The sequence below is a fragment of the Homo sapiens genome, chromosome 6 (assembly GCF_000001405.40).
Source record: "Homo sapiens chromosome 6, GRCh38.p14 Primary Assembly".
Lineage (NCBI taxonomy): Eukaryota > Metazoa > Chordata > Mammalia > Primates > Hominidae > Homo > Homo sapiens.
Genome location: NC_000006.12, coordinates 151,364,115 through 151,379,581, shown reverse-complemented (window position 1 = coordinate 151,379,581; position 15,467 = coordinate 151,364,115). Strand labels below are relative to the sequence as shown.

At 43.0% G+C, this 15,467-nt stretch overlaps 1 protein-coding gene across 5 annotated transcripts in view; it reads left to right on the top strand.

The window, feature by feature from the left end:
- The window catches only part of ZBTB2 (zinc finger and BTB domain containing 2), a 27,445-nt gene extending 11,978 nt beyond the window's left edge, over positions 1–15,467 (top strand). For 4 of the 5 annotated variants that reach the window (NM_020861.3, XM_005267076.4, XM_011536004.3 and 1 more), the window contains exons 2-3: positions 5,933–6,117; positions 12,690–15,467. In NM_020861.3, the coding sequence (NP_065912.1) occupies positions 5,945–6,117; positions 12,690–14,061 (1,545 nt within the window). In that variant the 5' untranslated portion in view covers positions 5,933–5,944 and the 3' untranslated portion in view covers positions 14,062–15,467. Of the gene's footprint in view, positions 1–5,932; positions 6,118–9,227; positions 9,478–12,689 lie in introns of those variants that run through there. The other variant, XM_047419189.1, reaches the window with a different exon arrangement.

Here is a 15,467-nt window from a genome sequence, read left to right as displayed (position 1 = left end):
CAGCCTCAACCCTCTGGGCTCAAGTGATCCTCCCACTTCAGCTTCCAGAGTAGCTGGGACCACAGGTGTGTGCCACCATCCCTGGCTATTTTTTAAATTTTTTATAGAGATGGGGGTCTCTCCATGTTGCCCAGGCTGGTCTTGAACTCCTGAGCTTAAGCAGTCCTCCCACCTTGGCCTCCCCAAGTGCTAGGATTAGAGGCATAAGCCACCACACCTGGCCTGGTTTTATTAAATTGGTAAGAAAAAGACAATCGAATAGGAAAATGGGCAGAGCTCATGAAAAGATACTAAAGGAAATACAAATGGTCAATAAATGTAAAAATAAGCTTTACTTCATTATTAAAGGCATACAAAGTAAAAAAGCCATATTGGCAAAGAATACCAAGTATTAACTAGAGTACGGAGAAAAGAGTTACGGTAGAGGTGGATAGAAAAATCTCACATTTTGTGTGTCCATAATATTTGAATCTTTTATAATAAGTATATGTACTTAAAAGCAGCAGCAAATAATAATATTAATTTAAAACAAACACACTGTCATGTAGCACATTCCAACTAACCAAGTGAATCCCAGTTTAAAGCCTACTTATTGAATGTACTGGTTCTATAAGCTTGGGCAAGCCACCTACCCTCTCTAACCCTATTTCCTCGTTTATAAATGTGGGCAGCAATACTTCAAATATCTCAAGTTGATGTGAAATTAAATTAATAGCATATGTAAATGATGGCCAATAGTAGCACTCCATAAGAAACAATTCTTATCATTATCATCAAGGGATAAATAGTAATGTTTTCCTGTACTTGAAGCTACTGTTGATGAGCGTGACACCTGAAGCTGTGGGACCTCAAGCTGCCTAAATATGATCAGCATGATCAGAGTCAGAGGACATGGCAGGGAGCATATCACAGTTGGGTCTCAGAGGATACTTTTTTAATGAGAAAAGCAGGTTAGTAAGATGCAAAAGGAAGTATTCTGGCACTTTACGGAGAATAACCTTGAAGACAAGCTTCTAAGTTATGCCTTGGTGGAGGTCAGGTTAGAGTGATGTTTCTCTGTAATCCAGGTTACTTTTGCAACCCAGCAGTTCTCTGGCTTTCATCATGAACCCCATGCCTTTTCTGTGCCTCTCCTTCCTAACCTGAGTGCTTTCACCTTCTCTGGCATACACAGAAAGTAGTGGGGAAACTGATCCATACCATCTGTTTGCATGAGACAACAGTCTAGGTCTTTATACCCAAATGATGTGCAAAATTGGATGACTCTCCTATCTCGTGCTTAGATATGACTCGTGGCAGAAAATATGAAATTTGACATTCTGGATTCTTGATTTGTGACCTGATCAGTCTCTTAAAGTATTATTCCATTACATTTGTCTATTTTAGGGTATATTTGTTAATTTCTGAATCTGCCTGAACATCCCTAGAGCAGGAAGGGAGAGTAGGGAGTCCAGCACCTGCTGATTAAGAATTGCTGTGGATGGCTGGTGCGAAGATAGTGAGTTATTGCGATTGTTTGGTTACAGATCAAATGCCTTGTTCTACTTTATTCCCCCTTACTACTGCACTTGACTAGTCTAAAAATAAATAAATAAATAATTTTAAAAATTGCTGAGTCTACTTTGATTTTTTTTAAAGCTTATTGATAGTGCATTATCTACAGTGCATTCTTAACTCTGAAGTTTAGCATACTCACTTTTTAAAAATTTAGTCAATTAATGTGTAGTAGGCTTTTAAAAATTTAACTTGCCCGGGCACGGTGGCTCACGTCCGTAATCCCAGCACTTTGGGAGGCCAAGGTGGGCGGATCACAAGGTCAGGAGATCAAGACTGTCCTGGCTAACAACATGGTGAAACCCCATCTCTACTAAAAAATAAGCTGGGCATGGTGGTGGGCGCTTGTAGTCCCAACTACTCGGGAGGCTGAGGCGGGAGAATCGCTTGAACCCAGCAACGGAGGTGTCAGTGTGCCGAGATCACACCACTGCACTCCAGCCTGGGCAACAGAGCGAGACTCGATCTCAAAAAAAAAAAAAAAAAAAAAAATTAGCCAGACATGGTCGCGGGCACCTGTAATCCCAGCTACTCAGGAGGCTGAGGCAGGAGAATAGCTTGAACCCGGGAGGCAGAGGTTGCAGTGAGTTAAGATGGTGCCATTGCACTCCAGCCTGGGCAACAAGAGCGAAACTCTGTCTCAAAAAAAAAAAAAAAATTGAACTTTATTTTGAGAGCATTACAGAGTCATGCGGCTGCAAGAAATAGAGATCCCATATACCCTTTACCCAGTTTCCCCTAATGGAAACATCTTGCAAACTATAGTACAGTATCACAGCTGGGATTTTGACATGCAGAACATTCCCATCACCACAAGGATCCCTCATGTTGCCCTTCCATAGCCATGCCCACCCACTACCCCACACCCCCCCCACCACTAATCTGTTCTCCCTTTCCATAATTTTCACACATATTATATCAGTGTTATCATACAGTATATGATATTTTGGGATTGGCTTTTTTCACTGAGTGTAATTCACCCAAGTTGTTGTACGTTATCAGTAGGTCGTTTCTTCTTATGGCTGAGTAGTTTTCCTCTGTGTGGGCATACCATAGTGTGTTTATTTAGTCATTGAAGGACATCTGAGTTGTTTCCAGTTTTTGATTATTAGGAATTAAGCTGCTATGGACATTCCTGTACAGGTTTTTGTGTGAACATAAGTTTTCATTCCTCTGGGATAAACGTCCAGGAGTGCAGTTGCTGGGTCATGTGGTAGTTGCATTTTTAGTTTTTTAAGAAACTGCTAACTCTTTTCCAGAGTGGCTGTACCATTTTACATTCCTACCAGCAGTGTATGAATGATCCAGCTTCTCCACACTCTTGCCACCATGTGTTGTGACTGTTTCTTATTTTAGCCATTCTAATAGGTGCACAGTGATACTGTGGTTTTAATTTGCTTTTCCCTAGTGGCTAGTGGTTTCGAACATCTTTTCATGTGTTTTATTTGCCTTGTCATCTGTATATCCTCTTTGGTGAAATGTCTCTTCAAGTCTATTACATATTTTCTGATTTGATTTTTTTTTACTGTTGAGTTTTGAAAGTTCTTTATATATTCCAGTTACTAATCCTTTGTCAAAGGACTAGTTTGCAAAAGTTTTCAAATATTGACTCCTAGTCTTTGAGCTTGTGTTTTCATCCTCTCAATGAGGTCTTTCGGAGAGCAAAAGTTTTTAATTTTGATGAAGTCCAGTTTATCAAGTTCTCATTATGGATTCTGCTTTTGATGTCAAGTGTAAAAACTCTTTGACTAGCCCTAGATTTTAGATTTTCTTACTTTTTTTCCCAAAAGTTTTATAGTTTTGTGTTTTACATTTAAGTTTGTTATCCATTTTGAGTTGATTTTTATATAAAGTATGAGACTTAAGTGTCAAAGTTCTTTGTCTTTTTTCTTTTTTGCCTGTGGAAGTCCAGTAGATCGTGCACCATTTGTTGAAAAGCTTATTCTTCCTCCACTGAATTGCTTTTGTGCCTTTGTCAGTAATCAGTTGTGCATATTTATGTGTGTCTACTTCTGGGTTCACAGTTTTGTTCTATTAATTCACTTCTCTGTCCCTCTGCCAATACCACACAGTCTTGAATACTATAGCAATGTACTACATCTTGAAATTGGGTAGACTGGTTTCTCCCACTTTATGGTTCTTTTTTAAAAATTATTTTAGGCCAGGCGTGTTGGCTCACACCTGTAATCCCAGCACTTTGGGAGGCCGAGGCGGGTGGATCATCTGAGGTCAGGAGTTCGAGGCCAGCATAGCCAACATGGTGAAACCCCATCTCTACTAAAAATACAAAAAAAACTTAGCCAGGTTTGGTGGTGCGTGCCTGTGCCTGTAATCCCAGCTACCCCAGGGAGGCTGAGGCAGGAGAATTGCTTGAACCCAGGAGATGGAGGTTGCAGTGAGCTGAGATTGTGCCACTGCACTGCTACCTGCAACAAGAGTGAGAACTTTGTCTAAATATATACATATATAATTTTAGCTATTCTAGTTCCTTTGCCTTTACATGTACATTTTAGAATAATTTTGTCTATATCTACAAAAAAATGTTGCTGGGATTTTTATAGGAATGGCATCAAACCTATATGTCAGTTTGGGAAAATTGGTATCTTTACCATGTTGAGTCTTCCTGTCCATAATCATAGTATATCTGTTTGTTTATTTAGATCCTTTATTTCTTTCACCAGTGTTTTATAGTTTTCAACATGCAAGTCCTGCACATGTTTTGTTAGATTTACACCCATGTATTTCATTTTTTGAGTGATTTTAAATGGTATTATCTTTTTAATTCAGTCCACATGTTCATTGCTAGCATATAGAATTACAGCTGATTTTTTTTTGTATGTTTATGACTTGCCAAACTCGTTTATTAGTTCTACAAGGTCTTTTTTGTTTTGTTTTGTTTTGTTTTTTTGAGATGGAGTCTCGCTGTGTCACCCAGGCTGGAGTGCAGTGGTGTGAGCTCGGCTCACCGCAAGCTCCGCCTCCTGGGTTCATGCCATTCTCCTGCCTCAGCCTCCGGAGTAGCTGGGACTACAGGCGCCTGCCACCACGCCCAGCTAATTTTTTGTTTTTGTTGTTTTTTTTTTTTTTTTTTTTTTTTAGTAGAGACGGGGTTTCACCATGTTGGCCAGGATGGTCTTGATCTCCTGACCTCGTGATCCGCCCACCTCCGAAAGTGCTGGGATTACAGGCGTGAGCCAACATGTCTGGCCTTTTTTTTTTTTTTTTTAATAGATGCCTTGGGACTTTCTGTGTTACAATCGTGTCATCTGCAAATAGTGACAATTTTATTTTTTTCTTTTTCTTCTATATGCTTTTTATTTCCTGTCTTGCTTTGTTGCGTGAGCTAGAACTTCCAGTGCTGTGTTGAATATCGAGAGGGGACATCTTTGCCTTGTTCCCAATCTTATGGAGAAGGCATTCACCCTTTCTTACCATTAAGTATAATGTTAAATATAATGTTGGTCTGTGTGTAATGGGCTTTTATAAATGCTCTTTGTGGAAAAGGAGCAGACTAGTGATTTGATGAACCAGGCAATGTCAGGCAGCCTCTCTATTATAAATAGACTCAGGCCAGCGGGGTTTGCCAGGGTCAAGTGTGAATAATGAAAATCATAGAATTTGGAATCAGTACATTCACATTTAAATTTTGACCCTCCCACCTTTTGGCTAGAAGGCCTGGGGCAAATTACTTATACTTCTCAAGACCGGTTTCCTCCCTCCACAAGGAAGGAAGCAGAGCTCCAACCCCACTTCCTCCGTAAGTGTTAAGGGTCAGGGGTGATGGGGCTGTTACATCACCAGCAGGAGCACACAGCAGGAGCTGGACTATTGGCCCTCAGACTTATTGATTCTCACCCTGCCCTGCTGGGACCCCGCCCCAACACCTTAATTTATCTATCTCTGTGGAAGAATTGACAAACTCTGATGCATCATTAGAATTTCCATTTGGAATCTTAAACTAAAAGACTCCATTTGCATTTGGAATTTTAAACTAAAAGACTCGATGGTCCAAGATATTTGCTGTCTGTCTCCAGGACGTGATGCTTAAAGGCAGACCACCTGAGTTCATTTCCTGGCTTCTCCATTACCATCTGTGTGAGCTTGGGCAAATCACATAACTCCCTAATTTACTTTAAATGGCATCATCTGGTTTTTTTTTTTTTTTTTTTTTTTTTTTTTTTTTTAAAGGCATAATGACATAACTACTTCAGAGGACTGTTAGGAAGACTAAATGAGTTAATCTGTGTAACGTTTTTAGCAGTGCCTGACACGTTAGCTATGATGACATGTTAGCTATGATCATGACTGTTGGTGACTATAAAGGACACATTCTTATTTGTGAATCACCTTCTTAAAAATAAAATTGTTTGCTTTGCAGATTTTTTAAAAAATGGATTTGGCCAACCATGGACTTATTCTACTGCAACAGTTAAACGCTCAGCGAGAGTTTGGTTTCCTGTGTGACTGCACGGTTGCAATCGGCGATGTATACTTCAAGGCACACAAATCAGTTCTTGCTTCATTCTCCAATTACTTTAAGATGTTGTTTGTCCATCAGACCAGGTAACTAAAGTGGTTGCTAATAACCTAATGACTGTAGACTTCTTAACCTCCATGTCCCTGGCCCTCATCAAGACCATGGGTCTCTCTACGTCTCCTAGCTCCTAGGTGACCTGCTCCCTTGTGGCCTCACTCGCCCCCACTACCCTTCTTGTTACAGGTGCTTTCAGTAGCACTTGAGAATCACTGGACCTGCCAGCTCTATGCAGCCCTTCCACCTCCAGATGCCCTCGCTGGGTGTCACCTGCATGGTCAGGATCTGCAAAATCAGGTCCATTTTTTTTTTTTTTTTTTTTTTTTTTTTTTTTTTTTTGAGACGGAGTCTCTCTCTGTCGCCTAGGCTGGAGTGCAGTGGTGCAATCTCGGCTCACTGCAAGCTCCGCCTCCCGGGTTCACGCCATTCTCCTGCTTCAGCCTCCCGAGTAGCTGGGACTACAGGCACCCGCCGCCACGCCCGGCTAATATTTTTGTATTTTTAGTAGAGACGGGGTTTCACTGTGTTAGCCAGGACGGTCTCGATCTCCTGACCTCGTGATCTGCCCGCCTCGGCCTCCCAAAGTGCTGGGATTACAGGCGTGAGCCACCACACCCGGCAAGATCAGGTCCATTATAAAGCCAGCCACCCAACCTCAGCGAACCCTTCCAGCAGTAATCTTTCCTGGACTCATTATCTAAGCCCTATCTCTCATTCCTCCAGCCCCAGTCCCCTGAGTATCCCCCTGACTTTCAGCATTTATTCTTGTCTCCTCCTCTAACAAGAAGCTCGAGGGCATGAATTTCTCCAGTTTCCCTCTTTTCTATCTTAAAACAGCTCTATCTTTGCTCAGTTTCTTTCTTCTCATCTCTCCTGTCTTGAGAAAAGGGCATCTCAGTGTCTCTGGAAAATGATCTCCCTTCTTCCCTCATGCTGGGAGTTCCCACTCCTCTATTTTTATTCTGTTCTTTTTATCTGTTTTCATACACCCCCCACCCTGCCCCCAGCCCATGTGGGATCAGCACATCCTGGACACTGCTGTCTGCCTGAGTTACGGTGCTGCTTCTCCTTCACTTTACTATGAAAGCCCTTAAAAGGGTAATCGAGGTCCTCGCCTGCACTCTCCTCATCCCACACTCTTCCTATCAGTGCGCGCTGTGGTTTCCTCCCCTCCTTCATTCTGCTGCAGTCTTTTCTCAAAGGTCACCCCTCATCAAAACCACTGCCCTTCTCTCAGCCTTCTAGCATCCTGTCCTCCAGCATCTGCTGTTGTTTGCTTCCTTCTTAAGTGGTTGTCATCTGCATTTTTATAGCTGAATATCTCTTGTTTTTCTGCCCTCTAAACCTGGGCCTTTGGTAAATTTTGTCTTTTGCACCCTTCCTATGGGTGTGTGTCTTTTTCCTAGATCTCGCCTCTGCTGGAAACTTCAGTTTATAACTCTGGCCTTGACTGTTCTGTCTCCAGAACTCTATTCCCAAGGCCTCAGGCTGTGTGCTGGGCATTTAGAGTTGAGTATCTCCTTTTGTGTCTTTGAGGATGTACTGAATTAGGCCTTCTCCGAAGTTCCTCCTGCCTATTTTCTTATCTTCAAGTATCCCAAGCTTAACTCAGTCCCCAAATCATGTTTTCTTCAAATTACCTTTCACATTTGTCACTTCTTTTCCTTTCTCACTTCCATTACCTCATCACCCATTCTCCACATTACTATTGGATTCGTATTTCCAAACACTGCTTTGACTGTAGTGTTTGATGAGAAACCTACTATACTGGGTTATTCGTTGGATCAGAAACCCCGGGGATGCCCAGTGCATATTAAAATAACACACAGGCTCCTTATTCTGTCATCCAAGGCCCCACAGGCTTGGAGCCCAACCTCCTTCTAGTCTCATCTGCGACTGGGCCCTCTGGGACACACCACCCCTCATCTTCACCTTAACCAGATCTGCTTTCATGGCTTCAGCTCACCTGGACCGCATTTTGCTGGTATCCTGCCCACTCCCTGAGTCCCAGCTCATGCAGGACCCCTCCCAGTCAAGTGAAACAAAACAAACGACAGTGACCACGTCCTCGCTTATGGCTCATAACACTTTAATTGTGCTCCTTTATAAGAGTGCATATGTGTACAAGAGTGCAAATGTGCACCTTTCCCCTATGTTGTTATGTGTGTACCTACCCCCTTCTTCACTTGTAAGTTTCTTGAGGGCAGGGACTGGGTTTTACAAATCTTTGCCGCCACCACCCAGTATGACTGAAGTATTTGCACACAATAGAATAGCCACTTGATCAATGTCTGGAGGAGCAGATGGGACAACTGCAGAATAACCCAGGAGGGTTGGCTCCTCTGGCAATACTAAGGATGCTCCCTTTAACTCCAGTGTGTCAGAGACTTAAGGCCTAGTAGGGGTTTTGTACTGGGCAGTCTCAACACAGTGAATTCAATGGTATTGAAAAGGAGGCAATTTTAATCTTGAGGAGTGCAAAAATACTACGTAATGAGTTTTAATTCGATGCAAGAAACCCACCTTTAAGTATAGGGCAGTAAATAAATGCCTTTCTAACAAGGAGGTGTGATATTTGTGTAATACAACAGTGTAAAGCAACAGGTGTATTACTGCACCAGAGGTGACACATGCCTAGTGGCCAGCTTTGCCTGCCTCCTAGTGCAGAATTCAAGCTCCTCGAGGCAAGGCAAACTCAGGGTGAAGGCCAGGGGCGTACTTTTCAACCAGCACCTCCTCTGTGGGGCATGACACACTGCTGCCTGGCTACTCAGACATAGACTGAGAATACGGTCAGTTTTTTCAAGTTTGGCTCCAAGGGAGATTTCTGGCTGTAGTTACCACTAGATGTCCCTGTCTTATGTCTACTACTCCGAGTGGTATGTTTAAATCACAGACAACTACAGACTTTCAGCTATCAAAAATAAAACCACTGAGGGAGAGGCCTTTCTAAGTACAACCTTCTGACAATGCTAATGTTATTCAAAAATCCTTACTTTTAAAGTTGTTTAAGCCTATCATTTCTTTTAAAATTCTAGTGAAGGAATAATTGAAAACGGAAATTACTATGGAAGTTTATACGAAAGGGCTTATAGCTGTAGTAAAACTATATTCATCTTTTTCCTACATGAAAGTATGTCAACCAGCCTGGCCAACATGGTGAAACCCCATCTCTACTAAAAATAGAAAAATTAGCCGGGCATCGTGGCGTGCACCTGTAATCCCAGCTACTCGGGAGACTGAGGCAGGAGAATTGCTTGAACCCGGGAGGCGGAGGTTGCAGTAAGCCGAGATCGTGTCACTGCACTCCAGCCTGGGCAACAAGAGTGAAACTCCATTTCAAAACAAAAAAAAATGTTATGTCAAACATATCTGGAAACTACTTAGATGTAAGTATATTGTAGAGAACTATGTCCTTTCCACAGGACTGGGAAAAGACCAAAGTCTGGCGCATAGTGAGCTGAGTGATTGACAGAGGTCAAGCTGCCTGGAAATAAAAGCAGTCAGGGATGGAGATGGCTGAAATGTACATTAAGGAACTTTGAAAAATTCTACCTGTTTTTTGTTTGTTTGTTTGTTTGTTTTGAGATGGAGTCTCGCTCTTGTCGCCCAGGCTGGAGTGCGATCCCAGTAGCTGGGGTTACAGCTGCGCACCACCACGCCCGGCTAATTTTTGTATTTTTAATAGAGACAGGGTTTTGCCATGTTGGCCAGGCTGGTCTTGAACACCTGACCCCAGGTGATCCACCCACCTCGGCCTCCCAAAGTGCTGGGATTATAGGCATTAGCCACTGCGCCCAGCCTCCACCTGTTTTTTAAGTGTATGTGTGCACATGTGCTTCTGCTTTAAAAAAAAAAATTTTTTTTTAAGGCTGCGTGCAGTGGTTCACGCCTGTAATCCCAATGCTGTAATCCCAAGGCTGAGGCAGGAGGATTTCTTGAGCCCAGGAGTTCAAGACCAACCTGGGCAAGATGGTGAGGCCCTGTCTCTATAAAAGTTTAAAAATTAGCTGGGTGTAGTGGCATGTGCCTATAGTCTGAGCTACTCAGGAGGCTGAGGCTGCAGTCAGCTATGATCATGCCACTGCACTCCAGCCTGGGCCTACAGAGCAAGACCCCCTCTCTCAAAAAAAATTGTTTTTAATCAAAATAAATTGGTGTTTGGAGACCTCCTTGGGCCCTCGCATCCCTGGCTGTAAACCCCAGGGACTCGCCGCTTTCTTTTCCCTGGCCCCTTGGAGTCCTCCCTCCAGGCCTGCCTAAAGTGTGGGCCAAGGTGTCCCCAGCTGTGTCCCTTTTTTGCCATCTGAGACTGTACATAGTTCTTTCAAATTTGAGAGGCTTACCGTTGAGTCACCATTCATAAGTGATAGATAAGACAGCCTATCCAACAATGAATGAGAAAAGAATTACAAAATTTACACCAAAGTCAGCCAGGCGCGGTGGTTCATGCCTGTAATCCTAGCACTTTGGGAGGCCGAGATGGGCAGATCACTTGAGGTCAGGAGTTCAAGACCAGCCTGGCCAACACAGTGAAATCCTGTCTCTACTAAAAAAAATACAAAAATTAGCTGGGCCTGGTGGCGGGCACCTGTAATCCCAACTTGGGAGGCGAAGCAGAAGAATCACTTGAACCTGGGAGGCGGAGATTGCAGTGAGCCAAAATCATGCCACTGCACTCCAGCCTGGGCAGCAGAGCAAGACTTCGTCTCAAAATTAAAAAAAAAAAGAAAGAAAAATGACCAGGCGCAGTAGCTCACGCCTGTAATCCCATCACTTTGGGAGGCCGAGGTGGGCAGATCACCTGAGGTCAGGAGTTCGAGACCAGCCTGGCCAACATGGCAAAACCCCATCCCTACTAAATACACAAAAACTAGCCGGGACTGGTGGCACACGCCTGTAATCCCAGCTACTCGGGAGGCTGAGGAAGGAGAATCACTTGGACGAGGGGATGGAGGGTGCAGTGAGCTGAGATTGTGCCACTGCACTCCAGCCTGGTGACAGAGTGAGACTCTGTCTCAAAACAAAACAAAAAACAACAAAGTTGCCAGGCGCGGTGGCTCACACCTGTAATCCCAGCACTTTGGGAGGCCGAGGCGGGCAGATCACGAGTTCAGCAGATCAAGACCATCCTGGCTAACATGGTGAAACCCCGTCTCTACTAAAAATACAAAAAGAAATTAGCCGGGTGTGGTGGCGGACACCTGTAGTCCCAGCTACTCTGGAGGCTGAGGCAGGAGAATGGTGTGAACCCGGGAGGCGGAGCTTGCAGTGAGCCGAGATCGCACCACTGCAGTCCAGCCTGGGTGACAGAGCAAGACTCCGTCTCAAAAAAAGAAAAGAAAAGAAAATATTTGTTAATCAAATGAACATGATTGCTAAAAGGGCCAAAGAAGATTACAATACAAAAAGTATAATAAAAGAAAATTATAAATTCTAAAAGCATTCAAGGAAGCTGTCTTTGAATTTGAAATGCATTGTCTATAGAATATCCACTCAGTGGAATATAATATATACCTTGTGATATGTGGATATAGATCTCACTAATTTCTAATGATGCTTTAGAATTTGTTACTACCGATGGTCTGGGAAGAGTTCTTGGGAACCTCTTCATTATTACTGCTTGATCAGGAATGATGTTTCTGAAATGATAAAAGGAGTAGAATCTAAAGTTATAAAATTAATAGCATCTTCAACGGCTTTAGGTGCCTTAGATAAATCACTTAACTTTTTGGGACCTCAGTTTCCATATCTGTCAAATCGGACTAAATAAATCCACTTTATCTACCATACAGGATTGTTTTGATTCTCTAAAGGATCTTGCTGTGGTGGCTTTGGACTTAGACAAACATTGTTTCAAATACCAGCTCCACCTCTTACCAACTACATGATATTGAGCAGGTTATTAACCCTCTAATCCTCAATCCTTTCCTGTAAAATGAGAATGAATGACAATCAAGTGAGAAGGCATCCCTGTAAAGCCCAGGAGCAGTGCTGATGTTGATGGTGGCATTTGATAAGGAACTCCTGGAGTTCTGTATAAAAATAGAATACATAATATTTAATTTAACTTGGCCAGGCGTGGTGGCTCACGCCTATAATCCCAGCACTTTGGGAGGCCAAGGAGGGCTGATCACTTGAGGTCAGGAATTGGAGACCACCCTGGCCAACATGGTGAATCCCCGTCTCTATTAAAAATACAAAAATTAACTGGGCGTGGTAGTGAGCGCCTGTAATCCCAGCTACTCGGGAGGCTGAGGCAGGAGAATCACTTGAACCTGGGAGGCGGAGCTTGCAGTGAGCCGAGATTGTGCCATTGCATTCCAGCCTGGGTGACAGAGTGAGACTCCGCCTCAAAAAAAAAAAAAAATTAACTTACTAGGAGAAAAACTGCTCTAAGAATCTGTGGATTAAGATATCACATTTCTTTAACGTGAACTTCGTCTCTTGATTATTTCATCCCATTTTCATGAAACTTACTAAAAATCAAGGATAGGAAATGTTGTTTCCTTTGTTTTTAAGCATTCATTTTTTTCTTCAGGCTTTATGTTAACACCTAGACTGGCATTTACTCACGTATTTTTTTACTTGTTTCTTTCAGTGAGTGTGTCCGCTTGAAACCAACTGACATACAGCCCGACATCTTCAGCTATCTCTTACACTTGATGTACACTGGGAAGATGGCGCCTCAGCTCATCGACCCGGTTCGATTAGAACAGGGCATCAAGTTTCTGCACGCCTACCCGCTCATTCAGGAAGCCAGCCTCGCCAGCCAGGGAGCCTTTTCTCACCCTGACCAAGTTTTCCCACTGGCTTCTTCATTGTATGGCATTCAGATTGCAGATCATCAGTTGAGACAAGCCACCAAGATTGCTTCAGCACCTGAAAAACTCGGGCGAGATCCACGGCCACAGACCTCCAGGATAAGCCAGGAGCAGGTCCCTGAGGCCTCACAGCTCTCCCAGCTGACTTCAAATCTGGCCCAGGTGAATCGGACAAATATGACTCCCTCAGACCCCCTGCAGACCTCGCTGTCTCCAGAACTTGTTTCCACTCCTGTTCCTCCCCCTCCTCCCGGGGAGGAGACCAATCTGGAAGCATCTTCCTCCGATGAGCAGCCTGCGTCCCTCACAATAGCCCACGTCAAGCCAAGCATCATGAAGAGGAATGGGAGCTTTCCAAAGTACTATGCCTGCCACCTGTGTGGACGGCGCTTCACTCTCCGGAGCAGCTTACGTGAACACCTCCAGATCCACACAGGAGTACCTTTCACATCTAGCCAACAGGGAGAAAGTCGCGTCCCCCTGACTCTCTGTAGCAATGCAGCTGACCTCGGGAAAGATGCCATGGAAGTGCCTGAAGCCGGGATGATAAGTGACAGTGAGCTGCAGCACATCTCTGATTCTCCCATCATCGATGGGCAGCAGCAGTCGGAAACCCCACCCCCCTCAGACATTGCTGACATTGACAACCTGGAGCAGGCCGACCAGGAGAGGGAGGTGAAGAGGCGGAAGTACGAGTGCACAATATGTGGACGCAAATTTATCCAGAAAAGCCACTGGAGGGAACACATGTACATACACACCGGGAAGCCTTTCAAGTGCAGCACTTGTGACAAAAGCTTTTGCAGGGCCAACCAGGCTGCCCGCCACGTGTGCCTCAACCAGAGCATCGACACTTACACCATGGTGGACAAACAGACTCTGGAACTCTGCACATTTGAGGAAGGGAGTCAGATGGACAACATGCTGGTGCAAACAAACAAACCCTACAAATGCAACTTGTGTGACAAAACATTCTCCACTCCCAATGAGGTTGTTAAACATTCATGCCAAAACCAGAACTCGGATGTTTTTGCCCTAGACGAAGGGCGATCCATTCTCCTGGGCAGTGGGGACTCGGAAGTAACGGAGCCTGACCACCCAGTGTTAGCTTCCATCAAAAAGGAACAAGAAACCGTCTTACTAGACTGAATGTCACTTATCTTTTTAAAAAACTCTCATTTTTACAAAGACTATCTTCCCTCCCTTCCCTGAATTCAGAACTGTAGTTCTCCATGGCATGATACAAACAGGTCCTTGTTCTCTTCTCCTCTTCCCCTTTTCCACATCCCAGCCCCACCTCTGTAAAGGCTTTGTGCATTATAAACCTGGAATGTATCGACTTTCTTTCAGGGGATATTGGAAAGATAATGGTCATTATACTTATAAACTCAAATTTTGAGAGGTTTTAGATTATTCAGAAGCATACTTGGAACTAATGAAGGGTATATAATAAAACAACTGGAATCCAATTTGGTAAGCTAAAATTATGACTTTCCCTGGGTAAAAAGTCTTCTCAGAAAAACAATGTCAGAAAATAACAGCGTGCTGCTTAGAAATACGGCTGGGCTCTGTACTATGCAAAATCTAGAAAGTGTGGGGAAACTTTAAACCCAAGAAAACGTTCTTAGTATTCATCCTCCAGGTGTCTTACTTCAGAATGCATCCTTTGAGATTATGTCCACTTAAGAGAAATCATCAGTTAAGAAATCTACTTTAACAAAACAAAAAGGAGAAAAAGTAATAATGTGATGGCAATCTTAATTTTTGGGTACAACATGACAAGCTGTGAGTTTGTGTGTTTGTAAGAGAAAAATGTGTGGGTACTTGCTAATAAACAGGTGAATTAATGCACATCCTTATCTCATTGCTGGCTTCTTTCCAAGTTGAGCAACAACAAAATGCTGTATTTGAGTTTCTGACAAATTTGTTTTAAAAATCAAATTTGAATGTACTATTCTATAAATTGCCTTTCTGAATAGAACATGACATGCCATTTTCTAGCAGCTGCCAGTGATAATTTGTTTTACACTAACTTTTAAATCAGTGTGTGTACTGCAGGGAAAAGGATATAGGAATACTCATCTTACAGGGGAATTTGTGACCAGAAGATGTAGTAACTTCAATGACTGAAAGTCAATGCTGATAGTTTACTGGCAACATTAATTGAAGCATCAAAAATAAATGGCAAAGAGAAATCAGGACAAAAAATCTAATTGCTGTTTGGGAAAAAACTTGATTTTGATGTTTATTCTCCAGGTTTTTGGTTGTTTTTTTTTCTTTCTTCTTTCTTAATGCCTGAAATTTTCTCCATTGGCCCGAAAGCAGTAAAAATTGTTCATTAATCTTCCGTTAGGCCAATAAAAGAAGGGCCTCACAAGACAAAACAGGAGCCAGAAGTAAGGACTGAAGGAGAAGGGGAGAATAGCTAATAGCTATAGTATATGTATATGTTAAAAACTGAATATCCCATCATCCTATTTCATGTATAGTTGAGTTCTCAAATTTGTAAGTTTTTATACATCCTTTCATTGAATAAACGTTTAATTAAATGAGTA